We start from the raw sequence: 13545 nt of genomic DNA on the forward strand, positions 1-13545 counted from the left end.
GTTTTGTCTTGTTTCTGGTAGAGGGAGGTGTGATTATACACTTAGTAAAAATGTTTTACCAGTCACTCTAATGGAAGATGCTGCTACCTGTAACGTTTCGAAAATGCTCCAAACTGCAAACAACCCAAAACAAACAAAAACCCTACCACATGTTTTTCAGACACAGTACTCAAAAAGAGATCGTCTTAGCGAACAGAATTGTGGGTTACTAAATCATCCCTATTGTCCTAAGTATCACTCAGAAAAACACTGTGTGTTTAGGAGCACAACTTATAAACAGCTGATTTATATATAAAATAGTGCACGTATTCATTTGGATATACTCATCTTGAGCTCACTGTAAGATAAAGCTGTCTTGGATATTGCTAAGGCAACATTTTCTTTACAGATGTTATTAAACATTGGTAAGAAAGGAGAAATAAACTGGTAACTTCACATGGGCACGTGAGACCCTAGAGAATGTCGTCACCATTAATCAATTTTTCTAACTGATCAAGCATAAACAGCCAAGTCCAGGTGGCCAAGTCAGCCAAGTCCAGGTGGGCAAGTCCTGGAGCCATAAGTTGTCTTTCTACCACGGTAAAAAAGGATCCTGGATCTGAGACCTGGCCAGGAAGCCTGAAAAGCACGTGTCCTACTCTGAGTTTGGGGAACTTCCCAGGAAGCATTTGTTCAGAGTAAAACTCCATCACCCCCTGCCTGCCTAACTCGGTGAAGGGACAAGTACGAGCCAGGGGAGGTAAACTCTGCGCCCCGGGTAGCTCCCAGGAGGAAGACACCGGGAGGCAGCTGCCCGCCCCGGCCCGGTCCGGCTGCGGCCCCCGCCCGGCTCACCTCTGCGGCAGGGATGTTGACCACGCCGGTGGAGCGCCGCTTCTCCCGCAGCTTCCTCTTCTCGATCTGCCCCTTGCCTTTCCTGGCACTGGGGCCCGAGCTCTTGCCCTTCTCTGGGACGCCGTCCGGCTCCTCCTCGTCACGCTGGGGCGGCGGTGCAGCCGAGGCAGAGGCGGCTGGGGGCTCGTCCTCCGACCGCCGCGGGCCGGGGGCCGCCCGCGTCAGCATGGCGGAGCCGACCGCGCAGTTCACGCCCCCGGGACCGGGGACGGCAGGTGCGGCCGGCGCGCCGCCCGGGAGGTTGTTGTTGAGCTCGTTGGCAGCGGCGGCCGCCGGGGTGCCCAGAGCCCCCGCGGGGGGCTTCCCAGCGGCGTCGCTGCTGCCCCCTCCCGGGGGGGCCGGGCCCGGGGGGTTCTGCTTGGCGCGCATCTTCTCGCGTTTCGCCTTCCACTCCTCCAGGAAGTCTGTGGTGCTGCCGCCGAGGCCGCTGCTGGTCCGGTAGCCACCGGTCGCCATATTCCCAAAGGGGCCGGTCGGGCTCTCACCTCAGGCCGCCCACCAGGGCTCCGGCCGCTGCCTCCTCTTCCTTCCTGCGGCCCCGAGGATGCCAGGAGACGACCTCCAGGAGAGGGACGGCCGCCGCTCCCACAGCAGCCGGCGGGGCTGAGGTGAAAGACAAAAGGGGGCGGGTAAGGGAAGCGTAAGATCCCCGCCCGACCCAAGGGTCTGCCCCCGGGCTGCGCCCCTTGGAGTCCTCGAGCGCGCCCACCAGTCACTACCGGCCAGCAGCCGCCGGGTCCCCACCCTGCAAAGTTTCTCCCACGCACCTACAGTACGGACCCCGACGATCGCCGCCCCTAGAAGGGAGGAGAGAGGACTGACCCCACCCCCAAGTCGGCCCGCCCGCCCCATCCCCACCAAGGTCCGCGCCGGCGGCGGTCGAGATACTAGGGCTAGACCCGCCACCTGTCGGCTCGTCGTATCGCCTGCTCCGCGCTCTAGCCACCGCCGGTCCGAGGTCCCCGTCAGCTACAACCCCACTCCCAAGGCGAGGCGCGGAGCTCCTAGCCGGTTCGCAGAGGAGGCGGGGACCCAGCTGTCCCGCCGAGCGTGGAAAGGACCGGGTGTGAGCGAGCGCCTTACCTTGGAGGAGCTTGTAGGGGACGAGGCGTAGGGCTGGGATCCGGCTCCCAGGTGTGCCGAAGCTGGCGCGCGCTCTTCCGCCGCGCGGAAAGTGCCGCGGCAAACTCGCGGTGCGGAGCTCCAGGCAATCCCAGGACAGGAGGGAGGGAGAAGAAGGAGGGAGGGAGGGAGGGAGGGAGCCAGGGGCGGGAAGGGAGCCGAGCGGCGCCGAAGCACGAGCGGAAAAGGCCGAGGCGGCGCGCGAGGGGCGCGGCGCGCGGTGGGAAGGGTCGTGGCCGCTGACGCCCCGCCCCCGGCGCTCAGGTGCGCGGCGTCGCGTCCGGCCCGCCGCTGCAGCCTGCCCTGCGCCAGCCGTCCTCTGCCCCGCTCCCGCCGCAGACCACAGCGCGCCCGCCGCGCTCCGCCCGCGGCCTGCGAGTTAGACGGCACATTCCTGGGCTAGCAGCTTCGCGGCGTCCGGCCTCCCGGCGCCTCCGACTCCGGGGCGGGAACGGCACTCCACGCCCTTCTTGCTTGTCTTCTCCGCCTCTCTCTTCTCCCACCACTCTTCCTTTTAAGTACAAGACCGTATTATTTGAGAGAAAGTCTCGAACGCTGCTGGCTAAGGGGAAAAGTGCGATAACTTGTGATGATTCAGGGAATGACTAGACAGGATGGGAAAATACCCACGTGTCTCTTTTCCTAGTCGCTGCTCCCTTTTCAGATGTACTAGGGCAGCGGGCAGGAGAATAGAAAGACCTGAGACAAACCCAGCACCCTCCTTCTAAGAAAACTGCGGTGCCCTGGTGAAAAGGGTTGGCTAAGAGGAAGGACTTACTAGTATCTTAGGGTTGCGGGAGAAAAAACTCAGTTCGACAGTTTATTGTATTGGCGATTCCAGTCTTGGAGTTTTCCCCTTAACCCTGTCTCTGCCTCTCCTCTTTACAGAGAATGAATTTAGCAGCAAAGCTCCCTACCAAAGTACTAACGCTGCACTGATGCTAATTTGAGATGAGCTGGGGCAGTGATTGTCTCTATTTTTTCATTATTAACATGCCAGAGGCTTATCCTCTGATGCAAGTCATCTGAAATTTCTGGATCAGAGCGGGGTGGGCTGTCACTGACGCACCTAAGACTGACCTTTCTATATCCAAGTAATGTCAGGGCACATCATTGTGGGAGGCTACAAATGCCAGGTCTCCATTTTGTAAAAAAGTAGGAGAGCCCTAAGTCACGCTCTTACCTAACATAAACCTTTCTTCCTACTTAATATTCCTGTTTTGCCCAGGTAGCACATGATGAGTGAGCAATCAGTGTTTGCCTGCCACAGAACTGGGAACAGAAGAAAGTGATTCACATGCTCTATATTTCTCAGGGAAAGACAGTTTTGGTCTTTGGTCTGGCTGTTGTGGGAAACGTATGGCGAGAGCTCTGGAAAAATCCTTAGAAAATTAAAAGCTTTTGTTGGGAATAGGTCTAAAAGGCTGAGCGGCTGTTTACCTAAGCTAGTACCAACCCCAGTGTGCCACCTGAAGTTTCTCAATTACATATTCATTAGTTTGTTTTCTGAGTTTTAAGGAGAGTAAGGGAGGCTGGGACATTAAACGTATTCACATTCATATGCTTTGTAACTTATCAGAGGACTTTTCTCCTGGAAGGGCTGCAGGATATAGTGGAAAGAGGGTATAGTCAGCTAGCTGAGAGATCTTGGGCATGTTTACATTATCTGGTACTCAGCTTTCTGTACTATAAAATCAGCAAAAATTACATTTTTTTTTTTTTTGAGGCGGAGTCTCGCTCTGTCGCCAGGCTGGAGTGCAGTGGCGGGATCTCAGCTCACTGCAACCTCCGCCTCCTGAGTTCAAGCAATTCTCCTGCTCTCAGCCTCCCAATTACATTATATTTAAGCTGTCTTAAGAACTGACACTGCACATAAAATGTGCTTGATTCGAGGAAGGCACTCAGTAAACATAGTCCCTTCTAGGGGCTTAAAGTCCTTGGTCTCTAAGAAGTGTATGGGAGAAGAGGAAATTATAACAGATGGGGTATTGAATATACAATATCAGCCTAAAAACGATAGACTTTGAATGAACTAGGATAACACCCCACATAAATTTATCACTGCATGGCTTAGACCAGTTCTCTTAGTGTTAATAGGTTCTGAGTCAGGAATTTTGGCTGCTACTGACTTGTGTGGCTTTGGGCAAGTTGCTTAACTTTTGTGCCTCTGTTTACTTACATATAAAATGGGGATAATAATACTTCCTGCATCGTGAGAGTGTTGTGAAAGTGCCTGCAGTCCTTAGATAAAAGGTGGTATGTGAGTACCAGAGTAGGTATTATTAGTCTATAAAGTGCCCTAGGAACCATGGATGAAAGAGATTATTGAGGTACAAAGCTCTGTGTTTTGTTATTATTATCATTTATTATACCTTTTGTCTTTACCATTCTCAATATTCCCGAAGATATATTTCACAGCCAGACTGCTTCCAACATTGCACCGAGGTATTTAGCTGAGTCAGTCCTAAATTGCAAGATGTTTGCATATCATCAATCTTTATGTATAGCGTTCTGATGAAATAATCCTCAAAGACTTGGAGCTTGGTTTCTCAACCTCAGCACTGTTACATTTGGGGCTGGATAATTCTTTGCTGTCCTGCCCATTGTAGGTTGTTTAGCAGCATCGTTGGCTTCTACCTATTAGATACCAATAAGAAACCCCCACCTGTATTGTGACATTGCCACATGGTCCCTGGGATAAAATTCTTCCCCGGTTGAGCACCTCTGAGTTAGCCTAAAATAACCAATTTTTAGCGACTCACTTGCCCTTAATAATAAAATGAAATATGATGATAATGCTGACAAAAACAGATTCATTTAAATATGTCAGAGTGAAACCTAGATGTTAGTCTTAATGATTTTGAGGAAGTGTATTATTATATGTATGGATAGCTAGTGTATTGGGAAGTAGCCATTTTGCCTTCAATGCAGGTATTTCTGGAACATATGCAATTCATCCTCTAACATCAAAATATTATATGTGCATAGGATAAAAAAATTACATACTTTAGTTCTACAAGGATTATAACAAAAAACAGCAATCCCCTCTCTACCTTATCCATTCTGAAAACCCTACCCAAAACTTTGAACTTTTTAACTGTTTCCATTAATAGAGATCTTCATATTTATTTTTTATGTGCATATCTGCTATTGTACATCTTGATTTTTCCATTTTTAGATATAGAAGAGGATTTAGCTCTAATACACTAATAACACATATACTTTTCTTTTCTTTTTCTTTTTTTTTTCTTTTTTTTTGAGATGGAGTCTCGCTCTGTCTCCCAGGCTGGAGTGCAGTGGCGCGATCTCGGCTCACTGCAAGCTCCGCCTCCCGGGTTCACGCCATTCTCCTGCCTCAGCCTCCTGAGTAGCTGGGACTACAGGTGGCTGCCACCACGCCCGGCTAATTTTTTTTTTTTTTTTTTTTTTTTTTTGCATTTTTAGTAGAGACGGGGTTTCACTGTGTTAGCCAGGATGATCTCGATCTCCTGACCTCGTGATCCACCCGCCTCGGCCTCCCAAAGTTCTGGGATTACAGGCATGAGCCACCATGCCCGGCCACACATATACTTTTCATACTCCTACACGCCCGTAGTATTATGACTATACAAATACTGTTCATAGCTGAGTCATGTGGTGTATATGATTGCATTTCTTTTTTTTTACAACTGTTTTTCCTTGTTGCACAACTATACCTTTTGTCTTTACCATTTTTCTGCAGTTAAAACTTGCCTCTTTTTTTTTCTTTAATCATCGGCTTATTTTTTTATATACCAGTCACAAGTATATACTCAAATTTTCCTCCTCTCAATGACGTTAATCACATTGGGTAAGCTATCAGTTCTATTCTCTTTTTGGAAACATCTGTTCTGGAGCCCTCCATCCCCTGCTTTAATATGGATTGATTTTGTTTGTTTGTTTGGAGACGGAGTCTCGCTCTGTTGGTGAGGCTGTAGTGCAGTGGCGCAGTCTTGGCTCACTGCAACCTCCGCCTCCTGGGTTCAAGCAATTCTCCTGCATCAGCCTCCAGAGTAGCTGGGAATACAGGCACATGCCACCACGCCCAGCTAATTTTTTGTATTTTAGTAGAGACGGGGGTTTCACCATGTTGCCCAGACTGGTCTCGAACTTCTGAGCTCAGGCAACCAGCCTGCTTTGGCCTCCCAAAGTGCTGGGATTACAGGTGTGAGCCACCGCACCTGGCCTAATCTGGACTGATTTTAAGGCTCGTTGCTTGTGGTCATCCTGGGATTATGCTCCTCTAACACCTTGAGAATCATTTTCTCTGTAGACTTCTTGTTTCCTGAATTGCATACTTTTCTCTTTTTGTTTCTCCCCTTCATTTTAGCAGAGTATATCCTCAGTATATTCTGAAGATAGTATAACTCATTCTTAGAGACCTTGCATATTGGAAAATGTTTTAAATTTATCTTCATACTTGATTAATAGTTTGGTGGAGCATAGAACTCTAGGTTAGAAAGCATTTTCCTTCATAATTTTGAAGGCATTGCTTTATTATCATCTAGTTTCCAGAGTTGCTGTTTAGAAGACCAGTGGCATTCTGATTGCATTGTATTTTCTGTCTCAAAATTTTTGGATCTTCTTACTTAGATCCTCTGAAATATCTTGAAGATATGCTCTGATTTGGTCTTTTATCATTATTATGTTATGCAGTCAGTGGACCCTTTTAATCAGCTATCTGCCTTCCAGTTAGGAAATTTTCTTATCCTCTTTCTTTTTCTTTGACATGGAGTCTCGCTCTGTCGCCCAGGTCAGAGTGCAGTGGCCTGATCTAGGCTCACAGCAACCTTCACCTTTCGGGTTCAAGCGATTCTCCTGCCTCAGCCTCCTGAGTAGCTGGGATTACAGGCACACACGCCTGGTTAATTTTTGTATTTTTAGTAGAGACGGGGCTTCACCATGTTGGTCAGGTTGGTCTTGAACTCCTGACCTCATGATCCACCTGCCTCAGCCTCCCAAAATGCTGGGATTAGAGGCGTGAGCCACCGTGCCTGGCCTATTCTCTTTCTTTTATAAGACTTTCCTTCTACTTTCTCTGTTCCTGCCTTCTGGAATTCCTGTTAAGTAGGTGTTGGAATGCTAGAAGTTCTCTAACAAATTTTTTCTCTTTTCTCTTTTATTTTTCATTTCCTTGGCATGTTATTCTACTTTTAGTGAAATTTCCTTCACTTTGTATGCCAGTTCTTCTATAGAATTTTCTGTTTCGGACACTATTTCTAATATCTCTTTCTTGTTCTCTAAATATTTTTTTCTGTAGCATCTTGGTCTTATGATACATATTGAGCATTTTGTCCTCTAAGCAAATTGCCTACATTTTTTGTTTGTTTTAATCTTCATCTTTCATGTTAGAGCACTTCCTCATCAGTTTATTCATATTTAAGACTGAAGCACTGCAAAGCTGATTGAAAGCTCTTATGTGAAAAGGAAGACCTTGTTGGACTGATGGGCCTCATTTAGGGAGCCGGTGTTTGGCCGCAGACATTTTCTGGAGGCATGTGTCAAATTCAGCATCTATGGAGCTTCTCTTTTGGCCCAATAATTTTCCTTGAGTAAAACTATTTCTGCTTGTGTTGTCAGTTGCCAATTTTTTCAGGTGCCAAGTAGGGAAAGAAGACTGGAGGAGTCTCATTACTCAATACGCAGGTTTTCACTTAATCCCTATACTTAGTATATCTGACGTACCCAATTTCAGTGCGTTTGTAATTCAACATCTGTACAATGTGAAAACTTCCAGTCCTCTGCCAGGATCAGGAGAGATAGTCTCCTTGCTACTGAGCCCTGCAGAAGGGATTTGAGAATCTAACTGTTCCTTGTGTAGATTTTCAACTAATCCTTCTGTTTTCATCCCCATCCTTCACTCTGTTTCAGAGGTATATGCTGCTGCCTCCAATTCTGAACCTTTCTTCAGGGATCTGCAGGACAAAAAAAGATTACTTCTTATTGGCTTTGTCTCTTGCAGGTTGTTAGAATTTACCTTACTCTGCTCTGCTAAAGCCTGTCTGCTTTCTATCTTTCATCTTCCAAAATTTTGTTCTTACTGTTCATCCTCTTTGTTGTTACTGGTTTATCATTTTACTTTGGTTTTAGTGAAGTTACTTGAGGAAGTAAAGATAAACACGTGTGTTCAGCCTGTTATATTTAATAGGAAGTCCAATTCATCTGTTTTGCAGATTTCTAGATACTTTGCAATCTACTCCATAAGTCCAGATCAGCAGAGACGTCTACATCTTATTTCTGTCCTCAGTGATTTACATCATAAGCCCATATTGATTGACACTATAAGAAAGAGCTCTAAAAATTTGTTTTATTTTCTGTAGGCTTTTTTTGAAGGTGTGGCCCATTATATTACATATATTCCTATTATCAAAAACCTAGAAAACATTTCTGACATCCATATTAAGAATAGATGTGGTTCTCTTTTGGAACTTTTTTTAACCATATAGTAAAACTATTTTTCATATAGCTAGTGAATATTCTGTTTTCAATTGCCTGTAGGTAATCTTAGACCAGATTTTTGGCCTATCCAGGGAAGACCTAGATTTTATGGTGCCTGAAGCTTACATAATTTGGTGGACTTTCTATAAGAAAAATAATCCGTAAGAAAATAAATATTTAGAATAAGTGAGAAATTTTTTTAAATTACAAATTTTAACAAATTGAAAAATGCCATAAATATCACAAAAATCCAGGAAAAAACCCTATTCATTTACTCTCTGACATATTTCTATGCCATTTTGTATGCATTTTATTATTGATTTTATTACTTATTGATGCATAAAGTACATGTCTTTACATGCAGATATATCCACTATTTGTAGTACAAGTATATAGGTTTATGCATCACAAACACAAGAACTCTTATAAATTGTACATCAAAAAAAATCTACTTCAAAAAGGAAAATAATGTATAGGCCATTCATAATTTTATACTCAGCATTATATCATATATTCCAGATAGGAAAGAATATCTATTCCTGATAGGAAAGTATATCAAATGCCAATGAAAACCTAATTCTCTGCTTATTTTACATGTCTCATGATTGGAAGAATTTCCCACAGACTGGTTTTAGTGCCATCAGACTATACCACTCTCTACAAGGAGCAACTCATTGTTCCTGTTGTCAGCCTACTTCCAAGTCACTCTTACTTACTGAGGACTTTAACTGCTAGCTAACCTTCTTTCTCCCCACTCCTCTTTATGTCCAGTTCTTAGTGATAACATCTACAAAGATAATTTATCCAGTCTCCTGGCATCTCAGATACTTGACCTCCTCACTCCAAATAACATTTTTCCTCTTTACCCCCTCTTCAGCTAGATATCTCTTGACTTTGTCATCATCAATAAGTACATCTTCAAAATCTCAGTTCTGAACATTCCATTTTCAACCACTACCACCTAACTCTTCAGCACACTTCCTCTCATACCCCCACTCCAACCATTTTTTGATCTATTGATCCTACTAATTTTTCATTATCCTTCCTTTCCATGTCCTAACTTCCTTACTAGGCTTTAGTTCTAAAGTTTATAATTATTAGCCTCTTCTGTGTATACCTGCTCACCTAAAGAAAGATAGTTAAAAACACTATGGCATGCTTCCTAACCCAACTTTAATGCATGTCCATAGTCTTAACTAGGCAGTCCATACTATCTGGCAATCCTAGTAAGCTTGCTTTCCTGTACTCCAAAATGACTAGTTTATATCAGTCTTTTAAGCCTCCAATACCTCCTTATACCAACCTCACTCTCAGTTGATGAGCTTGCCTTCACACTTCACTGACTCTAAAATAGCACCACTCAGAGTAGGGCTTATCTGCCCAAGACAGCTTTACCCATCTTCCTGCATCTAGATCTACTCTCTGCCTTCTTAATTAAATGAAGTTATCTGCTCCTCTTAAAGGCTGTCCTGCCACCTGTATCTTTCCCCTTTTGAGGGTTTTGCTTCTACAATTATACTCTCATGCATAATCAGTTTCTTCTCTATTAAATCATTCCCTTCAGCATACAAATGAGCTCTAGTAATTCCCTCTGTATTAGTTTTCTCTTTGTTGTCGTAACAAAGTTCCAAAGACTTAGCATCTTTAAAAGAAAAATCCCACCTTTATCATCTTACAGTTCTGTAGGATAGAAGTGCTACCTGGATCCCACTGGGCTAAAACCAAGAAACTGGCAAGGCTGCATTCCCTTGTGGAAGTTCTTGAGAACAATCCATGCTCTTGCCCTTTCCAGCCTCTAGAGGCCACGCACATTCCTGGCTGGTGGTCCTCTTCTCTCAAAGCAAATAATGGTGCATCTCTCGGCCTTTCTTCCATAGACACATCTCTCTAGGATTCTCTCTTTTGCCTCTATGTTCTACTTGTAAGGATCATTGGGACCACCTGAATAATCCAAGATAATCTCCTTATTTTAAGGTCAGGTGACTAGCAACTATAATTCTATCTTCAACCTTAATTTCCCTTTGCCATGTAGCTTAATGCATTCAGAAGTTCCAGAGATTATAGTCTGGAAGTTGTTGGAGGCCATTATCTACTTACTATGCCCCCTTAAAGAAATAAACTTCCCTTGACTCCAGAATCTAATCTGGTCAATGTTATAATTCACTGTCAAAATTTTTGGAAGGGTTATCTTTAGTCACTGTTGATATTTCCACCCTTACCATTCTTTCTATAATAATTTCCAAATGGTCATTAGTCCTCACCACTCCACTTATTATTCACCACTCCTGTCAAAATTATCAATAAGCTTCATATCTTTTTTATCCTACCTAACCTTTCTGTATTATTCAGCACAAATGACTCCCTCATTTTTAAAATCCTCCTTCTTGTAACTTTTTAAAAATCACCAAAAAAGTTTTATTTTGTCCTCCAACTTCATTGGATGCTCCTTCTCAGCCTCCTTTACCCACTCCTCCCCATCTGCTTAATCTGTGAAAACTAAAGTCTTCTCAGTAGTTAATCACTGGCCCTCTTTTCTTCTCATGCAACACTTTATCCCTAGGTGAATCCATGGAATACCATGGCTTTAGGAGTCACTCTCATATCCCATTTGCCAGTTTGACATCTGTATTCGTCAGGGTTTCCTAGAGTGACAGAACTAATAGGATAGATGTATATATGAAGGGGAGTTTATTAAGGAGTACTAACTCACATGATCACAAGGTGAAGTCCCACAATAGGCCATCTGCAAGCTGAGGTGCAAGGAAGACAGTCTGAGTCCCAAAACCTCAAAAGTAGGGAAGCCAACAGTGCAGCCTTCAGTCTGTGGCCAAAGGCTCGAGAGCCCCTGGCAAATCACTGATATAATTCCAAGAGTCCAAAAGCTGAAGAACTTGGAATCGATGTTCAGGGGCAGGAAGCATCCAGGATGTGAGAGAGATGAAGGCCGGAAGACTCAGCAAGTCTGCTCTTCCTTCTTCTGCTTGCTTTATTCTAGCAGCAGCTGATTAGATGGTGCCCACCCAGTTCAAGATGCGGCCTGCCTCTCCCAGTCCACTGACTCAAATGTTAATCTCCTTTGGCAGCACCATCACAGACACACCCAGGAGCGATACTTTGCATCCTTCAATCTGGTCAAGTTGACATTCCATATCAACCATCAAAACATCTTCATATGGATGTCTTCTCAAAATGAACATGACCAAAAAAAACTTCCATCCATTTCTCCATCTGCCCCTACCTTATTTCTCTCTCATTTCTTTCCCATCTTGGTAAATGGTCTCACCATCCATCCAACTGTTCAAGCAAAAATCTACAAGACTTCTTTGATTCATCTCTTCCTTACCCCATAAATCCAATTCACCATTCTATCAGCTCCCATTCCAAAATATATTCGATCCTCACAACAAAAAGAATGTTCTTCTCAAAATGTAATCAGACCATGTGACTCCCTTGTTCTCAGCCCTCTATAAGTCCCTATTTCACTTAAAATCCAAATTCCTTTCATTGGCCTTTAAGACCCTGTATGATCTGGTTCCTGCTTTCACCTTTAATGTTGATTCTGATGACTCGCCCTCTTTTCATTAAACTCAGCTTTTTGTCTGTTCCTAAAATATTCAAAGCTCATTCCTGCCTTGGTGCTCCTGCACTGCTTAGAAGCATTTGCCCCCAGATCTAGCTATACCTATCATTGAGGTCTCAGTTCAACTGTCACCTCCCCAAAAAAAGCCTTCTCTGATCACCCAATCTAAAAAAGCCAAATTCTCCACCCTAAACCTCAATCACTATTGTATTGCCATTTTATAGTATTTATAATACTATCACCACTAGAAATTATTCATATGTTTATTGGCAGCCTCTCCCACTCTAGAATATAAGCATACTGAAACAGACATCTTGCCTATTGCCTTCACAGCTGTATTCCCAGCACCAGTAACTCGCGATAAACATTAGGCATTCAACTTAATCTGAGTTCTATGGATAGACTTAGAAAGGTCTACAAATCAAGTAAGGAAAAAAAAAGCTTAGATTCCCCTTCGGCGTCTTCCTATTTGTTTTAAATTTGTCTGAATACAAAGAAAGTTATTTTTATTGTCAATTTATGACTTAATAGACTACTAATAGATACAGAGGCTGAGAAGGAGCATACAATTTTGATATCATGTTATCTGTCTGTTATTAGGAATTTAACATATGCTGCCCTTAAAATAATGGGCATCTACCTTTGTTTACATCAAGCATAGCTTAAGTTGGAAAATATCAAAGTAAAGAAGGTTCTACAAAGGCGGGTAGGATTATGGTGGTCCAAAGCAGTTAACGTTGACTTCAGGCATTTCTAAGTTACATGACCTTGGGCAAATTACCTAATTTCTCTGCCACAATATTTACCTCACAGATTATTGGGGGTATTAAATGAAATTTATCCTTTGAGTTTGCTTTTTTAAAAAAAAAAAAAAAGAAAAATAGGGTTTTGCTCTATCACCCAGGCTGGAGTGCAGTAGCATGGTCATTGCCCACTGCAGCCTCAAACTCCTGGGCTATACCAGTCCTCCTGCCTCAGCCTCCCAAGTAGCTAGGACCACAGGTGCATACCACCATGCCCAGCTAATTATTATTATTATTATTGTTATTATTATTATTATTATTTATGGAGACAAGGTCTAGCTGTGCTGCCCAGTCTGGTCTCAAACTCCTGGCTTCAAGTGATCCTCCTGCCTCAGCCTCCCTTATTTAACTTTTGACATAACCACTGAACATACTGAGACACGAAAGCCATAGCAGTTTTAATACAGAAAGATTCTTGCCAACAAAATCAGATTTCAACAAAGCTAAAAGATCATATTCCACCTTGTAAGTATACAGCCAAAGAAGAAAATAAGAGTTCCTTATGATACCAGAAAAAGGGGAAATGTCTTAAGGCATCAAAGCCAAGACTGAACAATTTGACTACTTTTTTTTTCTTTTTTCTTTTCTTTTTTTTTTTTTTGAGAGAGTCTTGCTCTATCACCCAGGCTGGAGTGCAGTGGTGTGATCTTGGCTCACCGCAACCTCCACCTCCCGAGTTCAAGCGATCCT

At 43.9% G+C, this 13545-nt stretch overlaps 1 protein-coding gene and 1 long non-coding RNA gene across 12 annotated transcripts in view, besides 2 other annotated features; one reads left to right on the forward strand and one right to left on the reverse strand.

Moving 5' to 3' along the window:
* Positions 1 to 2070, reverse strand: part of PAWR (pro-apoptotic WT1 regulator) — a 106086-nt gene extending 104016 nt beyond the window's left edge. For 7 of the 11 annotated variants that reach the window (XR_944561.3, XR_944560.3, NM_002583.4 and 4 more), the window contains exons 1-2: positions 1978 to 2070; positions 835 to 1497 (exon numbers count right to left, since the gene is read on the reverse strand). Coding sequence is in view for 9 of the 11 variants with exons in the window: in NM_002583.4 (NP_002574.2) it covers positions 835 to 1350 (516 nt within the window). In the remaining 2 variants the exon portion in view is untranslated. The other 4 variants (XM_047428916.1, XM_047428917.1, XM_047428919.1 and 1 more) reach the window with 2 other exon arrangements.
* Positions 778 to 1297: a silencer, noted in NCBI's record as "silent region_4681". NCBI's record gives its function as "represses an Ori minimal core promoter by ATAC-STARR-seq in GM12878 lymphoblastoid cells {active_cell/tissue: GM12878}" and the evidence as "EXISTENCE:reporter gene assay evidence [ECO:0000049][PMID:35858748]".
* PPP1R12A-AS2 (PPP1R12A antisense RNA 2) overlaps positions 1138 to 13545 on the forward strand; it is an 89875-nt gene continuing 77467 nt past the window's right edge. Inside the window, exon 1 of the long non-coding RNA NR_187531.1 lies at positions 1138 to 1502. This is a non-coding gene — a long non-coding RNA (PPP1R12A antisense RNA 2). The remainder of the gene's footprint in view (positions 1503 to 13545) is intronic.
* Positions 2068 to 2367: a silencer, noted in NCBI's record as "silent region_4682". NCBI's record gives its function as "represses an Ori minimal core promoter by ATAC-STARR-seq in GM12878 lymphoblastoid cells {active_cell/tissue: GM12878}" and the evidence as "EXISTENCE:reporter gene assay evidence [ECO:0000049][PMID:35858748]".

This window comes from Homo sapiens, chromosome 12 (genome assembly GCF_000001405.40).
Source record: "Homo sapiens chromosome 12, GRCh38.p14 Primary Assembly".
Lineage (NCBI taxonomy): Eukaryota > Metazoa > Chordata > Mammalia > Primates > Hominidae > Homo > Homo sapiens.